Source organism: Homo sapiens, chromosome 22 (assembly GCF_000001405.40).
Source record: "Homo sapiens chromosome 22, GRCh38.p14 Primary Assembly".
NCBI lineage: Eukaryota > Metazoa > Chordata > Mammalia > Primates > Hominidae > Homo > Homo sapiens.
In genome coordinates, this window is record NC_000022.11 from 50,134,248 (window position 1) to 50,149,153 (window position 14,906).

The 14,906-nt window shown below is 47.2% G+C and overlaps 1 protein-coding gene across 19 annotated transcripts in view, besides 1 other annotated feature; it reads left to right on the forward strand.

Annotated features, from left to right (window-relative positions):
* MOV10L1 (Mov10 like RNA helicase 1) overlaps positions 1–14,906 on the forward strand; it is a 71,682-nt gene that overhangs the window by 44,242 nt on the left and 12,534 nt on the right. For 16 of the 19 annotated variants that reach the window (XM_011530697.2, XM_005261923.5, NM_001164105.2 and 13 more), the window contains 5 exons: positions 283–383; positions 7,834–7,942; positions 8,796–8,974; positions 9,850–9,996; positions 11,442–11,563. In XM_011530697.2, the coding sequence (XP_011528999.1) occupies positions 283–383; positions 7,834–7,942; positions 8,796–8,974; positions 9,850–9,996; positions 11,442–11,563 (658 nt within the window). Of the gene's footprint in view, positions 1–282; positions 384–1,931; positions 2,405–7,833; positions 7,943–8,795; positions 8,975–9,849; positions 9,997–11,441; positions 11,564–12,807; positions 12,903–14,906 lie in introns of those variants that run through there. The other 3 variants (XM_011530704.1, XM_017028834.2, NM_001164106.1) reach the window with 3 other exon arrangements.
* Positions 5,631–5,815: a silencer, noted in NCBI's record as "fragment chr22:50578307-50578491 (GRCh37/hg19 assembly coordinates)". NCBI's record gives its function as "represses an EF-1alpha promoter that drives an FKBP-Casp9 reporter gene in an ReSE screen in HepG2 liver carcinoma cells {active_cell/tissue: HepG2}" and the evidence as "EXISTENCE:reporter gene assay evidence [ECO:0000049][PMID:32094911]".

Consider the following 14,906-nt stretch of genomic DNA (forward strand, 5'->3'; position numbering starts at 1 on the left):
CTAATAATAGCATGCTTAAATAACCGAAAATAAATTTATCTTGCTCGCTTTTCCCTTCATAAATGTAATTTATGAATTTTTACAGATGGGCAAATAAAGGGCTTTGTTGTGAAGAATATGCAGTACTAATAATGCTATAATTTAGAAACAGTATAACAGGCAGGTTAAGAAAGGAAGGGAATAGAATATTAATTGCTTTAGGGTCAGCCATAAACAACCTCTATTAATATTTTTTTAGCTTTTTAGTTATACCCGTGCTCTTACCATTTTTTGTTTTAAAAGTGTTGTTTCCAGAAGAAATTATTTTACAGTCTCCACAAGTGACGGGAAATTGGAACCATGCACAAGACACCAAAAGCAGTGGACAGTCCACCAGCAAAAAGGTAGTGCTCAGCAATGTGGCTTTCTCTACACAGGGGATGGCTCAGCGACGTGGCTGTCTTTACATAGGGGGTGGCTCAGCGGCGTGACTGTCTCTACACAGGGGATGGCTCAGCGATGTAACTGTCTACACAGGGGGTGGGCGTTTCCTTCTCGGAGTATTAGCGCTTAGTTGACTGGAGTATTAGAGCAGTGTGGTTCACAAATAACTCAAAATTGCAGTTAAAATAAAGTGAACTAAAATATTCAAAAATAGATTTAGTGTAAAGTTTATATGCAAGGGCTAAGATGCAGGGCTAAGATGGCTACAATATATTAAATAGGGGAAGCAAAGTACAGATGTTTATATGACCTTAGAGTTGGGTTTTTTCTTTTTCTTTTTTCTTTTCTTTCTTTTTTTTTTGAGACAGAGTCTCGCTCTGTCACCCAGGCTGGAGTGCAGTGGTGCAATCTTGGCTCACTGCAACCTCTGCCTCCCAGATTCAAGTGATTCTCCTGTCTCAGTCTCCAGAGTAGCTAGGACTACAGGCATGTGCCATCACACCCAGCTAATTTTTGTATTTTTAGTAGAAACAGGGTTTCACCATATTGGTCAGGCTGGTCTCGATCTCCTGATCTTGTGATCCACCCTCCTCGGCCTCCCAAAGTGCTGGAATTACAGGCGTGAGCCACCACACCCGGCCTTAGAGTTTTATTTTTAAATTATATGGTTTATGTGTACACTTAGGTACATTTATGTGATTGTGTATGCATGGAAAATGTCTGGAAGGATACACACCCCGCAAATTGTTAACATTTGCAAACTTTGTGAATGTTGCAAAGATATTTTATAAAAACTTCTAGGCCGGTCGCAGTGGCTCACGCCTGTAATCCCAGCACTTTGGGAGGCCGAGGCGGGCAGATCATGAGATCAGGAGTTCAAGACCAGCCTGGCCAAGATGGTGAAACCCCATCTCTACTAAAAATCCAAAAATTAGCCGGGCATGATGGTGTACACCTGTAATCCCAGCTACTCAGGAGGCTGAGGCAGGAGAATCACTTGAACCCAGGAGGCAGAGGTTGCAGTGAGCCGAGATCACGCCACTGCACTCCAGCCTGGGCAATAGAGCGAGACTCCATCTCAAAAAAAAAAAAAAAAAGCTTCTATAATCCAGTCACTCCATAAATAGTAATATAGTGCCTATTACATGCCAGGTATTGTCCTGGGCTCTCAGTATATTTTTGTGAATACAATAGAAGTGGTTTTATTTATCTTCATGTTTCTAGTAACAAGAAAATCATCTGTGTCATGGTGGAGCTTACAACTTATTTTGTGCTATTCAAATTTGGTTTTATGAGCATGTTTTCAATGTATAACATGAATTTTTAAATTATATCTAATACTCAAAAATGCTCACCATTTTATAGTTCCTCCCCCAAAATGCAAAAATGATAGGTTTAGAATGCCTATACAATCATGGAAAATACGACAAATGAAGCAGCAAGAGGTTATCCTTGAAAGTCATCTGTGGCATATTTCATAGTTGATCTCTTTTTTGTTCTGCAAATAGAAAAGAGTCTTCCTTGGACAGTGCTTTTCTTCTCCGTCATCACCTCATTACTGGTTCATTCTACTGCCTGATTCTCGGGGAGAGTCTGTGGTGCAGATGGCATGTGAGATCAGGGAGGTGTTACTATTTAGGTGGGCACATTCCTAATTGACTGTAGGTTTTAAAACCTGAAACTTTATCTTCTTATGGATTAACTAGATTGAAAATAAACTCAAGAATATTTCATATGTCAACCAAGATAGAATTTCAGGGACCAGATTTATCTTCCTTCCTGAAACAATAAAAAATCAGACAAACTATATGGAACAACAATTTCAGACATTAACATCAGCTATCATAGGACAGGGATTCCTGAGAGAGGAAACAAATGAGGTGACCTCATGGTTTTCCCAACTCACAGCCTTCCGAGAGTGTCTAGGCCAGAGAGCACCAAGAGGGAGCCCAGGCGGAGTGCAGTGACCTGAGTACAGAGACAGCATTTGGAAGGGTGGGGAGGACAAGGGGGATAAAGCTGACAGAGTAGAGTGCTGGGGAGAGGGCAGGGGACAGAGAGCAGCTGGGCACCTACAGAGATTCCTTCTTGAGTTTTCAGCTGAGCATTGATCAGTGCATGATGTGAGTAAAATACCCAGGCCTGGAAAAGAACCAGCTGGAAGGAGGAGCAAGAACAATCCTTAAAAGTTGACACAGTGCCAGAAATAGCTGTGCCCACAGCCAGAGAAGAAAAACCTCGTAATTCACATGTAGAATCCATGGGAGGGTGTTGTCTCAGGAGCGTAGAAAGTCCAGCCTTTGACTGAAGGCTGCTCCGGCCCAGACTGACAAAGTATGATAGCCTCAAAAGAAGCAAGCTGTTCCCAAATAATTGGATTACATCCCAGAACAAAGTTTAAGAATATTTATAGGAATATAAAATTATCCAGCACCCAGCAAGGTATAAAATGGACACTGACATCTGGTTACAAAATGAAAAAGTGAAAAACGTAACCCAAAAGGAGAAAATTTAGTCAATTGGAACCAACCCCCCCGAAATAACATGGTGGAATTAGCAGACAAGGACATTAAAACAGTTATAAATATGTTCCATGTGTTCAAGAAAGTAGAAGACATGAGCAGGTTAAGTGGAGACACGAAAGATATATAAAAGACAATTTTATCTTCTAGGAATGAAAAATTCAATGCCTAGAATGAAAAATATATTGGACAGAATTATCAGCAGACTAGACAATGCAGAAGGAAAAATTAGTGAACTTGAAGACGGAGCAATAGAAACTATCTAACATGGAACAGAGGCGGAGGCTGCAGTGAGCCGAGATCGCGCCACTGCACTCCAGCGTGGGCAATAGAATACAGCAAGACTCCATCCCAGAAAAAAAATTAGCTGGGTGTGGTGGCATGTGCCTGTAGACCTAGCTACTCAGGAGGCTGAGGCAGGAGAATCGCTTGAAACCAGGAGGTGGAGATTGCAGTGAGCCAAGATCATGCCACTGCGCTCCAGCCTGGGCGACAGAGCAAGACTCTGTCTCAAAAAATACATATGTATATACACATATATATATTTTATATATATACATATATAAATATACATATTTTATATATATACATATATAAATATACATATTTTATATATATACATATATAAATATACATATTTTATATATACATATATAAATATACATATTTTTATATATACACACATATTTTATATACACATATTTTTATATGTATACATATATGTATCTATGTATATGACACATGTATATGAGACCAAGAGGGTTCATCCCAGGAATGGCTTAACATTCCAAAAATAAATGTGTAATATACCATATTAACAAACTGAAAAGGAAAAACCATATAATCATGGCAGTAGACTTGGAAAAAGCATCTGACAAAATCCAGCATCCATTCCTGATCAAAATTCAGCAAACTAGAAATAAAAGGAAATTTCTTTTACCTACAAAAACCTACTTAGTGATAACTGAATGTTCTTTGCTTGTAAGATCAGGATCAGGGCATGTTTCCTCAGCATTTCTGCCCAGCATTGTGCATTGTAGACAGGCAATGAAGCAGAAAGAACAGGCATCCGCATCCTGTAGAAAGTCTGATGGAGGCCGGGTGTGGTGACTCGTGCCGGTAATTCCAGCACTTTGGGAGGCTGAGATGGGAAAATCACTGAGAACAGCCTGGGCAACATGCAAGACCCTGTCTCTATTTTTAAAAAGTTTAAAAATTAGCTGGGCATGGTGGCACACACCTGTAGTCCCAGCTACTCAGGAGGCTGAGGCAAGAGGATCCCTTGAGCCTGGGAGGTTGAGGCTGCAGTGAGCTGTGATTGTACCACTACACTCCAGCCTGAGTGATGAAGTGAAACCCTGTCTCAAAAAAAAAAAATAGAAAAGAAAAAAAATCTGATGGAATCTAAAATGAAGCTGTTAGAACTAATAAGTGATTTTGCAAGATACAAGATCAGTGTAGAAAAATAAGTTGTATATATATTTCCAGTAAACACTCAGAAATTGTTTTTTGGTGTTTTGTTTGTTTGTTTTGAGACAGTCTCGCTCTGTTGCCCAGGCCGAGGTGCAGTGGCGGATCTCGGCTCACTGCAACCTCCGCCTCCCAGATTCAAGCAGTTCTCCTGCCTCGGCCTCCTGAGTAGCTGGGATTATAGGTGCGTGCCACCACACCCTGCTAATTTTTGTATTTTTAGTAGAGACAAGGTTTCACCATGTTGATCAGGCTGGTCTCAAACTCCTGACCTCATGATCCGCCCACCTCAGCCTCCCATAGTGCTGGGATTACAGGCGTGAGCCACCATGCCAGGCCTGAATTTTTTTTTTTTTTTAAGTAGCACCTAAATGTTTTAAACATTAGGGATACATCTGACAAAAGATGGGCAACAAAAGACGTAAATCAATGGAGGGAGATATTAGTATCTCTTGGGCCGGAAGATTCCATATTATCAAGTTACCTGTTTTACCTCACGTGGTCTGTAAATGCAGGGCACGCGCAAAACATGGACCTGGGTCCATAGCTCACAGCGCAGACAAAAACTAACTTACTCTGCGGTTTATAGCCGCAATGTCAAGCCTAAAACTATGCATCTAGGAAACAGCATAGAAGAACATCTGCACGTCCTCTGTTTGGGCAAGGATTTTTTTTTATGTGACACTAAGAGCATGACTTACAGAGAAATGGATAAATTGGACTTCAGTGAAATTAAATATTTTGCTGCTGAAAAGACATTGTTAGACAGTAAGGTACAATGGCATACACTTTTAGTCCCAGTGACCCAGGAGACTGAGGCTGGAGGATCTCTTGAGCCCAGGAGTTCCAGGCTAGCCTGGGCAACATAGAAAAACTCTGTCTCAAAAAAAAACAAAGAAAAAAAAAAGACACTGGTAAGACAATGAAAAGTGACAGACTAGAGAAAATATTTGCAAATCACATCTGATCAAGAACTTGTATTCGGAAAACATATGAAAGTACTCTACAAACTGCCTAAGAACTCAATTTTTTATAATGGATCAAACACTTGAACACTTTACCAGAGAATACATACAGATGGTAATAAACACATGAAAGATGTTCAACATCATTAGTTGTTAGGGAAACACAAGTTAAACCACAATGAGGTACCACTGAACACCTGCTAGAATGGCCAGAAATTGAGTTGGGCCATCTGCGCGTTGGTGAGCCCGTGGGGCCGCTGGCACGTACCCTGCTGTGGGAATGGGGAGTGGCACACCACTGTGCAAAAGGTGTTTTTAAGAAGCTGGACGCGCACCTGCCATACAACCCAGCCATTTCTCTCTAGAGAGATGAAGACATAAGGCCACGTGAGGACCCATACACAAAGTTCACAGCAGCTGGGTTTTTAATCACCAAAAACGAAACAACCCAGTGTCCGTGAGCAGGTGAATGGATAAGCAAGTTGCATTGTGTTCGTACAATGGAACATGACTCAGCAATACAAGGAGCAAACTGTTGACATGCAACAACACAGGTGGCTCTCCAATGAATCACACTGTGTGCATTTATATGAAGTATGAAGTTCGAGAGCATGTGAGCCAGCCAGTGCCACTGGAGGGGCTGCGGCACAAGGCGGCTCTGGGGACTGACAGGTCTATTTGTCATCTTGATTGTGCTGATGGTTTTATGGGTATGTGCACGTCAGACTTGTCAAGTCACACACTTTAAATATGTGCACCTTATTGTATGTCAGTCACACTCTGCAAAACACAATGGTTGTGGGAGGAGGTTATAGGCATAACCTTCTAGACCATGGGTGTCCAATCTTTTGGCTTCCCTAGGCCACGTTGCAAGAAGAATTGTCTTGGGCCACACATAAAATTCACTAACACTAATGATAGCTGATGAGCTGAAAAAAATATGTATCACAAAAAAATCTTATAGTGTTTTAAAAAGTTTACGAGTTTGTGTTGGGTTGCATTCAGAGCCATCCTAGGCTGTATATAGTCCATGGGCCGCTGGTTGGACAAGCCTGTTTTAGACTAAAACTTAGCAATGTGTGTAAATTTTTTAACGTGAAACTTTTTTTTTTTGAGACAGAGTCTTCCTCTGTCCTCCTAACTGCAGTGTAGTGTCGCAATCATGGCTCACTGCAACCTTGACCTCCTGGACTCTAGCAGTCCTTCCACCTCAGCCTCCTGAAGTGCTCAGATTATAGGTGTGAACCACTACCCCTGGCCCCAGAACTTTTGATTTTATAGATTCCAGAATCTATCCTATGAAAATAATGAAGTTATTTAACAAAGAATTACAGATCATAATGAAAAAAATTGAAAATCCCACTGGTTCAGGACAAATACTACTTACATTGGAACACACAGAAAACCAATTCTTGTGTAGGATCCTTTTTTTTTTTTGTTTTGAGACAGAGTCTCGCTCTGTCGCCAGGCTGGAGTGCAGTGGCACGATCTTGGCTCACTGCAGCCTCCACCTCCCGGGTTCAAGCTATTCTCCTGCCTCAGCCTCCCGAGTAGCTGGTGGCACCACGGCCAGCTAATTTTTGTATTTTTAGTAAAGACAGGGTTTCACCATGTTGGCCAGGATGGTCTCGATCTCTTGACCTTGTGATCTGCCCGCCTCAGCCTCCCAAAGTGCTGGGATTATAGGCGTGAGCCACTGCGTGCAGCCTTTTTTTTTTTTATGAGTTTGGGGGGTCTCTGTCACCCAGGTTGGAGTTGGTCGCCCAATCTCCACTCACTGCAGCCCCGCCTCCTGGGCTCAAGTGATCCTCCCACCTCAGCCTGCCAAGTAGCTGGGACCACAGGTGAGCACCACCATGCCCGGCTAATTTTTTTTTTTTTTTTGTATTTTTGCTAGAAACAGGGTTTCACCATGTTGCCCAGGCTAGTCTTAAACTCCTGGGCTCAAGTGATCCACCTGTCTTGGCCTCCCACAGTGGTGGGATGATAAGCGTGAGCCCCGTGCCCGGCCTGGTGCAGGATCTTGCCTGACGTCAACAGGCAGCACTGGCACTTTGCACACTCTCCAGGCCCGTGAGACCCAGAGCCCTGGGCTGTACCCTTGACTGTCCCCTGCAGGTTCCCCCACTGTCCAGCCTGGAAAGCAGGTAGGATGTACCAAGGGAAGATGATATTAATAAAATAAAATTTAGTCCTGTGCTTTGGTTTCATCACAAATTTTAGTTTATTTCTAAAAGCAAGTTTAAAGAAAAAAGCACAAACTTTTTTAGCAGTTTTTTATCTGATCGTTTGTTTTTTCTTTATTTTTCAAAGGGTCTGACCTGTGATCCATCCAAAGAGCTGTTAAATAAATATACTAAGTAGAACACTAGATGTTTACGTTTGCTCTTTCAACCAAGCCAGTGTAAACACAGCTGTTTTTTTAAAACATTTTTCTGCCTGATAATTTCTAGAATAGGAAAACAATGACGGACCAAGCTGAGCATGGAACAGAGGAGAGGCGTGTTGGTGACAAGGACCTGCCGGTGCTGGCACCCTTTACTGCAGAGATGAGCGATTGGGGTATGTGCTCATGAGGGGCAAGGAGAAGAGCAACTCTGAGACTGTCGCCTGGAAAACGGGGACTTTGAGGAGTGGGCTCTCATGCAGAAGGAAGAACAGTAGGGGGCGTGTGGCCTGTGACAGGCGGCTGCCGTCTCCACCCTGACTGGAGACTTGGTGTTTTAGCTTAGATACTTTAAGAAGACTTTTAGATTCTGGGTTGTTTTTTTCCAGGTACTCTGCAGATGTGGACATTTTTTAATCCAGTCTCTAATATTTGAGTGTGATCTCTAAAGCCGCAGAATCGGTTGACAGCCTGTCATTTTCCTCTCAGCAGCTGCATTCGTTCTCCTGACCCTCTTTAACAAAGCACAGACAGGTTGAGTGCAGGGCTCACACCTGTCATCCTAACACTTTTGGGAAGCTAAGGTGGGCAGATCATATGAGCTCAGGAGTTCGAGACCAACCTGGACAACATGGCGAAACCTTGTCTCTATAAAAAAAAAAAAATACAAAAATTAGCCAGGTGTGGTGGTGGGCGCCTGTGGTCCCAGCTACCCGGGAGGCTGACGTGGGAGGATCGCTTGAGCTCAGGAGATGGAGGTTACAGTGAGCTGAGATTGTGCCACTGTACTCCAAGCTGGGTGACAGAGCGAGACCCTGTCTCAAAAAAGAAAAAAAAAATGCAAACAGATTATTAAGAGGAATGCCCTGTGCGCATCTTACCCCTGGTCACACTGAAGAGCTACTCCCTGTCTGTGACTCTGATTTAGCCTTTGCACAGACGTGCTGACGCCTGACCTAGGTGAGGACGTGTCCACAGCTGTTGAGAGCTGTTTGCATCTAACTGAAACTTTCTTCACTTTGAATACAGTAGATGAAATTCAGACCCCTAAAGCAAGAAAGATGGAGTTTTTCAACCCAGTGCTAAATGAAAATCAGAAGTTAGCAGTTAAAAGGATTCTGAGTGGTGACTGCCGTCCCCTCCCGTATATTCTCTTTGGACCTCCTGGTACTGGAAAGACAGTGACAATAATAGAGGCTGTTTTACAGGTAAGGACAGCGGCGCCGCGGGTGCTGTGGCTCTGTGCTGCTGTTCATGTGTCGTCTGTGTCTTCAGGAAGTGTGAGTTTAGATTGTAGAATCAGACAGTTGGAAAGAGCTTGAGAAATACCAGTTATTTCATAATGTTAAGTCTGTTTTTGTGGATATGTAGGGATTTAAAAGCTTATTTCATAGGTTTAGAAGGAAACTCATTTTTAGCCTGGTAAACTATTTTATCTGAATCATGACATTTTGCTGCAGAAAAGAAGTTACTCTTATAGTAGCTACAGCCACCATTCCACAGAAGTTTTAGATATCTTCATTTGTAATTGAAGTTAAGTTTATGAAACTATTGTCTACAGATGCTTCTTAACTTTTGATGGGGTTACAACCCAATAACCCATCGTAATGGGATTTGGGAAGCCTGTTTCAGGTTCATCAAGGCATGATCCCTTGTCAGGTGAGGAGCAGACTGACTGGGGATGGTCTTCACACCATCATAAAGTCAAAAAAGCGTTAAGTCAAACCATCATAAGCCGAAGACCATCTACATTTAGCGTCATTCAGGATTCAAATTAGCAAACAGGTATTGAGCGCACAATTGTACCACACGCCAGATGTGTGCAGATGAATCTGACTCTGTTTCTGCCCTGAAAGGTGGTTTAGAATCTTAGAGAGTGCGGAGAACCTTCCCACCTAACCCATGCTTTGGCAGCAGTGTGATGAGGCAGAGTCGTGGCCCAGGTCTCAGTGTGTTGGGGGCTGGCATCTGAGCCCATGCAGCTGAGTCCCTGCACCCGAATGTGTGTGTTGAGGTTAGACTCCTGGTTTCCACCTTGCGGTGTGGATGTTGAGCCTTGGTCTCTTGTGTGTCTTTGATGAAGGTACACTTTGCCTTGCCGGACAGTCGGATTTTAGTCTGTGCGCCCTCCAACAGTGCTGCTGACCTCGTGTGTCTGCGGCTGCACGAGAGCAAGGTGCTACAGCCGGCCACCATGGTCCGGGTGAACGCCACCTGCAGGTTCGAGGAGGTGAGCCCTTGGTGCAAGCAGTGGGGGGCACCAGAACCCCTCCCTGGAACATAGGAAATGCCAAGTGGACAGGGGAGGGCAGGGGTAGGAGGGTGGGCACAGAGGCGCCACAGAAAGCTGTGTTTGAGAAATGGCTCTGCCATGGGCCCTCCCTCACCGCTAAATGGTGGAGCTTGATTGCTGACTATTTCATCACATTCTCACTCTGTGTGAGTTATCACACCTATTGTGGGCATTCGTAGCATTGTAAAATTATCACATTCCTCTTTTATTTAATCCCCAAACGTCTTGTTACTTTTTAAGTAGTTTTGTTTTGTTGGTTTGGTGTTTTTTGTTTTGTTTTGTTTTTTTTTTTTGAGACGGAGTCTCGCTGTGTCGCCCAGGCTGAAGTGCAGTGGCATGATCTCGGCTCACTGCAAGCTCCGCCTCCCAGGTTCACACCATTCTCTGGCCTCAGCCTCCCAAGTAGCTGGGACTACAGGCACCCGCCACTGCGCCCGGCTAATTTTTTGTATTTTTAGTAGAGACGGAGTTTCACCGTGTTAGCCAGGATGGTCTCGATCTCCTGACCTCATGATCTGCCCGCCTCGGCCTCCCAAAGTGCTGGGATTACAGGCGTGAGCCACCGTGCCCGGCCTGGTTTGGTTTTAAGTATTCCTTTAAGTTGCTGGTTTGGTTATAGAGCGAAGTATTGCTTTTATTTTTTTGTTTGTTTGAGACAGAGTTTTTGCTCTTGTTGCCCAGGCTGGAGTGCAGTGGTGTGATCTTGGCTAACTGCAACCTCCGCCTCCCGGGTTCAAGCAATTCTCCTGCCTCAGCCTCCTAAGTACCTAGGATTACAGGTGTGTGCCACCACATCCAGCTAATTTTGTATTTTTAGTAGAGACAGGGTTTCACCATGTTGGTCAGGCTGGTCACGAACTCCTGATCTCAAGTGATCCACCCGCCTCTGCCTCCCAAAGTGTTGAGATTACAGGCTTTAGCCACTGTGCCCAGCCTGAAATATTGCGTTTAAAAAAGACATTGAAAATAGCTGGGCGTGGTGGCATGCGCCTGTAATCCCAGCTACTCCGGAGGCCGAAGCAGGAGAATCACTTGAACCTGGGAGGCAGAGGTTGCAGTGAGCCGAGATTGCACCATTGCACTCCAGCCTGGGCGACAGAGCAAGAGCAAGACTCCCTCTCTAAATAAACAAACAAACAAACTGAATAGAAAATGTACAAAGTTGTTTTGGGGAAGGGTCTGCAGGATTATGTGTTATATTTGTGGCTCTAGAGTTGATAAAACATGGACTGAATTGATAAGGAAGTATGAGATATTTTGAGAAAAAAACCTTAAATCATGACTTAGACGTAACTAAGAAGTGGTACCAGGGCAAGGTTCCCTTTTGGAATTCTGCTTAATAATTGGAGGAGTAAACTAACTCTACGCCTCCTTGCCCCCAGATAGTTATTGACGCCGTCAAACCGTATTGCAGAGACGGAGAAGACATCTGGAAAGCCTCACGCTTCCGGATAATCATCACCACATGCAGCAGCTCAGGGCTGTTTTACCAAATAGGAGTGAGGTGAGCCCCGGGCATGGAGCGCGGCATGGGGCCTCCCAGGGCAGAGGTCGGAGTCCTCTCCTAGCTTCTGTCTGAGGGGCGGATGACCCAGAGACTCAGTGCTCAGGGAGGGAGGCAGGGCTGTGGGCGAGAAAGGCTGGTTGGGGAGGGCCGTGCCTGAATGGAGCTGGGGAAGCCGAGACCCCAAGGACTCGAAGGAGCCAGCAGTGGGATGGGCAGGCAGATGGACTGGCCCATGCAGAGGCCCCGCGGTGGGGGAGCACTGAGGTCTCCCCAAAGGAGACTGTAGAGCCAGAGCCTCGTGAGCAGGAACGGCCTGAAAGGGGTGGTGAGGGGGAGGCCTGGCGGGCTGTGGAGGGGCCTTTGGACGACCTCTGGTGAGCCGGGAAGCCAGTGAAGGGCTTCTGAGCAGGAGAGTGAGTCTCTTGGAGTGGGCGTGGGGAGGCAGGCTGCCTAGGAAACGGCTGGGCTCTGTAAGGTCAGACCCTGGGGGCCATTTGTGTCCCTGGCGCTGGGGGCTCTTCAGGGGAGACAGGCGGAGGAGATGGATTGTGGGGTGCCGGCTGTCATAGGAGGACCTCCCCTGGGGGCTGGGAGGAAGAGCTTCGAGCCCAGGGAGGCTGAGTGAGGACCAAGGCACTCTCAGACCCCAGTGCAGGGGGGTGGGGTCGGGGAGGCAGCAGGCAGCTCCCTCTCAGTGCATAGAGCCAGACAGTGTCGGGGGCACAGGCTGAGGGTGAGAGAGGGAGAAGCCAGGGCCTCTGAGGGAAGCCCCACCCTCCCTGACGGCCTGGAGACAGGTCGCTCTGAACAGTGTCCAGCGTCACAGTGGTCGTGACCCTCCCTGACAGCCTGGAGACAGGTCACCCTGGACAGTGTCCAGCGTCACGGTGGTCGTGAGGGTGACCACAGGAGGTGGTCCGTCAGCTCCACATGGAGCAAAGGCACAGCCAGCCACGCCTATCACAGCGTGTCACGGATGGTTTCATCGGCGCGTTTAACTCTCTCACATACATGATGTCCTTTCATCATGAGATTAGTAGAACGTGATTGATGAGACACTTTACATTTTTTTTGGTTCAAGTCTTCAAAATCCACCATGTATTTTACACTTAGAGCATGTCAGGTTTCAGACTAGCCACTGTGCGGTGCCCGAGAGCCGTGTGTGGCTACCGGATTGGACAGCACGGATCTGAACAAGACAGGGATTTTTTTTGTTAATGTGTGTTGATGAGTCAAAGGTCAAGAGCCGAAGAGCCAGTCCTCACTGGGGTGCAGAGGGCTCTTTGGGGGCAGAGCGGGCACTGCATGGACCCTGCACCCTGGAGCTGATGTTCAGGTAGTGGGAGGAGGTGGCCGGCCAGGGCAGGCCGCTCTCTCAGAGGCACTCTGTGCAGAAGCAGGGAGGGTGCTGCAGGCCGCTCTCTCAGAGGCGCTCTGTGCAGAAGCAGGGAGGGTGCTGCAGGCCGCTCTCTCAGAGGCGCTCTGTGCAGAAGCAGGGAGGGTGCTGCAGGCCGCTCTCTCAGAGGCGCTCTGTGCAGAAGCAGGGAGGGTGCTGCAGGCCGCTCTCTCAGAGGCGCTCTGTGCAGAAGCAGGGAGGGTGCTGCAGGCCGCTCTCTCAGAGGCGCTCTGTGCAGAAGCAGGGAGGGTGCTGCAGGCCGCTCTCTCAGAGGCGCTCTGTGCAGAAGCAGGGAGGGTGCTGCAGGCCGCTCTCTCAGAGGCGCTCTGTGCAGAAGCAGGGAGGGTGCTGCAGGCCGCTCTCTCAGAGGCGCTCTGTGCAGAAGCAGGGAGGGTGCTGCAGCCCAGCTGCAGAGGCCCCACAGCGTTAGTTGGCCACTGGGGGCGGCTGGAGTGGGGAGGGGCACTTCAAAGGGCAAAGAAGTAGCAATGTCATCTGGCAAAAGTGACATTAAATAACTGCAATTAATACAGAATTGAAACCTAAATACTTACATTCTAGGAAAGATACATAATGTTAATTTTTTTCAACAGAAATAGGGACATGAGATGGGGAAATGGCAGTTTGCTGATTTCCACATCTTTCACTGGGAGGGGTTCACGGTGTCACTTGTGAAATCCGTGTCTTGAGAGTTACACATTGATACCTGAAGTGAAAGGTGTCAGCTGACCGTGAGTGGATGCAGGACATGTTGGGCCCAGCACTGCTGTAAGCAGGAGCCCGCCCCCGCACAGGTCTGACCACAGGGTCTCACCCCACAGTGGGACACCTGAGGCTCAGAGGTGATGGATTTGCCCAGCATCTAGGGTTGGAGAGGGGAGATCCTGGAATCAGCAGTGAGAAGGGTAAACGTGGGCTCGGCAGTGAGGACGGTGCGGGCCCAAGGTGCGTCCTGTTGAGTGTTGGCGTGGCTCCGGACACTCTCTCTGCCCCATACCTGCTTCCTCAGGCATCAGGACATGTTTCTGCCCCAAGAGCATTTCCCCACTGAGGCCTCCTGACCACAGAGCAGAAGCTGCTGGGGTGGGCGAGCCAGGGAAGCCGGGGCACCTGTTCCTCAGCTCATGGCCCCAGGTGGGGTGGCCCCTCTGCACTCTAGAAACAGATCATGTGCCGAGCGAGCTCCTGCTCTCCGCTCAGTCCCACAGCCTTCCCATGCAAGAGTTCCGCAGCTTCTCCTGACGACTCCTTCCCGCAAAATCCCCACCCCGTCCATCAGCAACGCTGTGGACTCTCTGCTCCTGCACCTCCCTTACCTCCCTTGTCACACGGAGAAGGAAGAGCCGGACAGGTACCCGCCAGGAGGGCTGCTCTGTAGCTGGGAACCTCACTGAGTTTGCAGCAGGGGCCAGAATTGTGGGGAGCCATTCTAGAGACCGCATTTTCTTTTTTTCTTTTTTTTTTTTTTTTATGAGATGGAGTCTTGCTCTGTCACCCAAGCTGGAGTGCAGTGGCGCGATCTCAGCTCACTGCAAGCTCCGCCTCCCAGGTTCACGCCATTCTCCTGCCTCAGCTTCCCGAGTAGCTGGGACTACAGGCGCCCGCCACCACACCCGGCTAATTTTTTTGTATTTTGAGTAGAGACGGGGTTTCACCGTGTTAGCCAGGATGGTCTTGATCTCCTGACCTCGTGATCCACCCATCTCGGCCTCCCAAAGTGCTGGCATTACAGGCGTGAGCCACTGCGCCCGACCAACCCCATTTTCTTAATGGTGCCGCAGATTGGGAAGTGGCTCCCAGGGCCTCAGCCTATTGGCATGCAGGCCAGGCAGTGCCCAGCTGAGAGTGGCTCACAAGGATGAGTCAGGAGGAAATGAGCGGATGGCAGGAGAGGCTGCCATCTGTGGCCGCCTGCATGGCCAGGCCTGTTCTCAGCGCTTTACA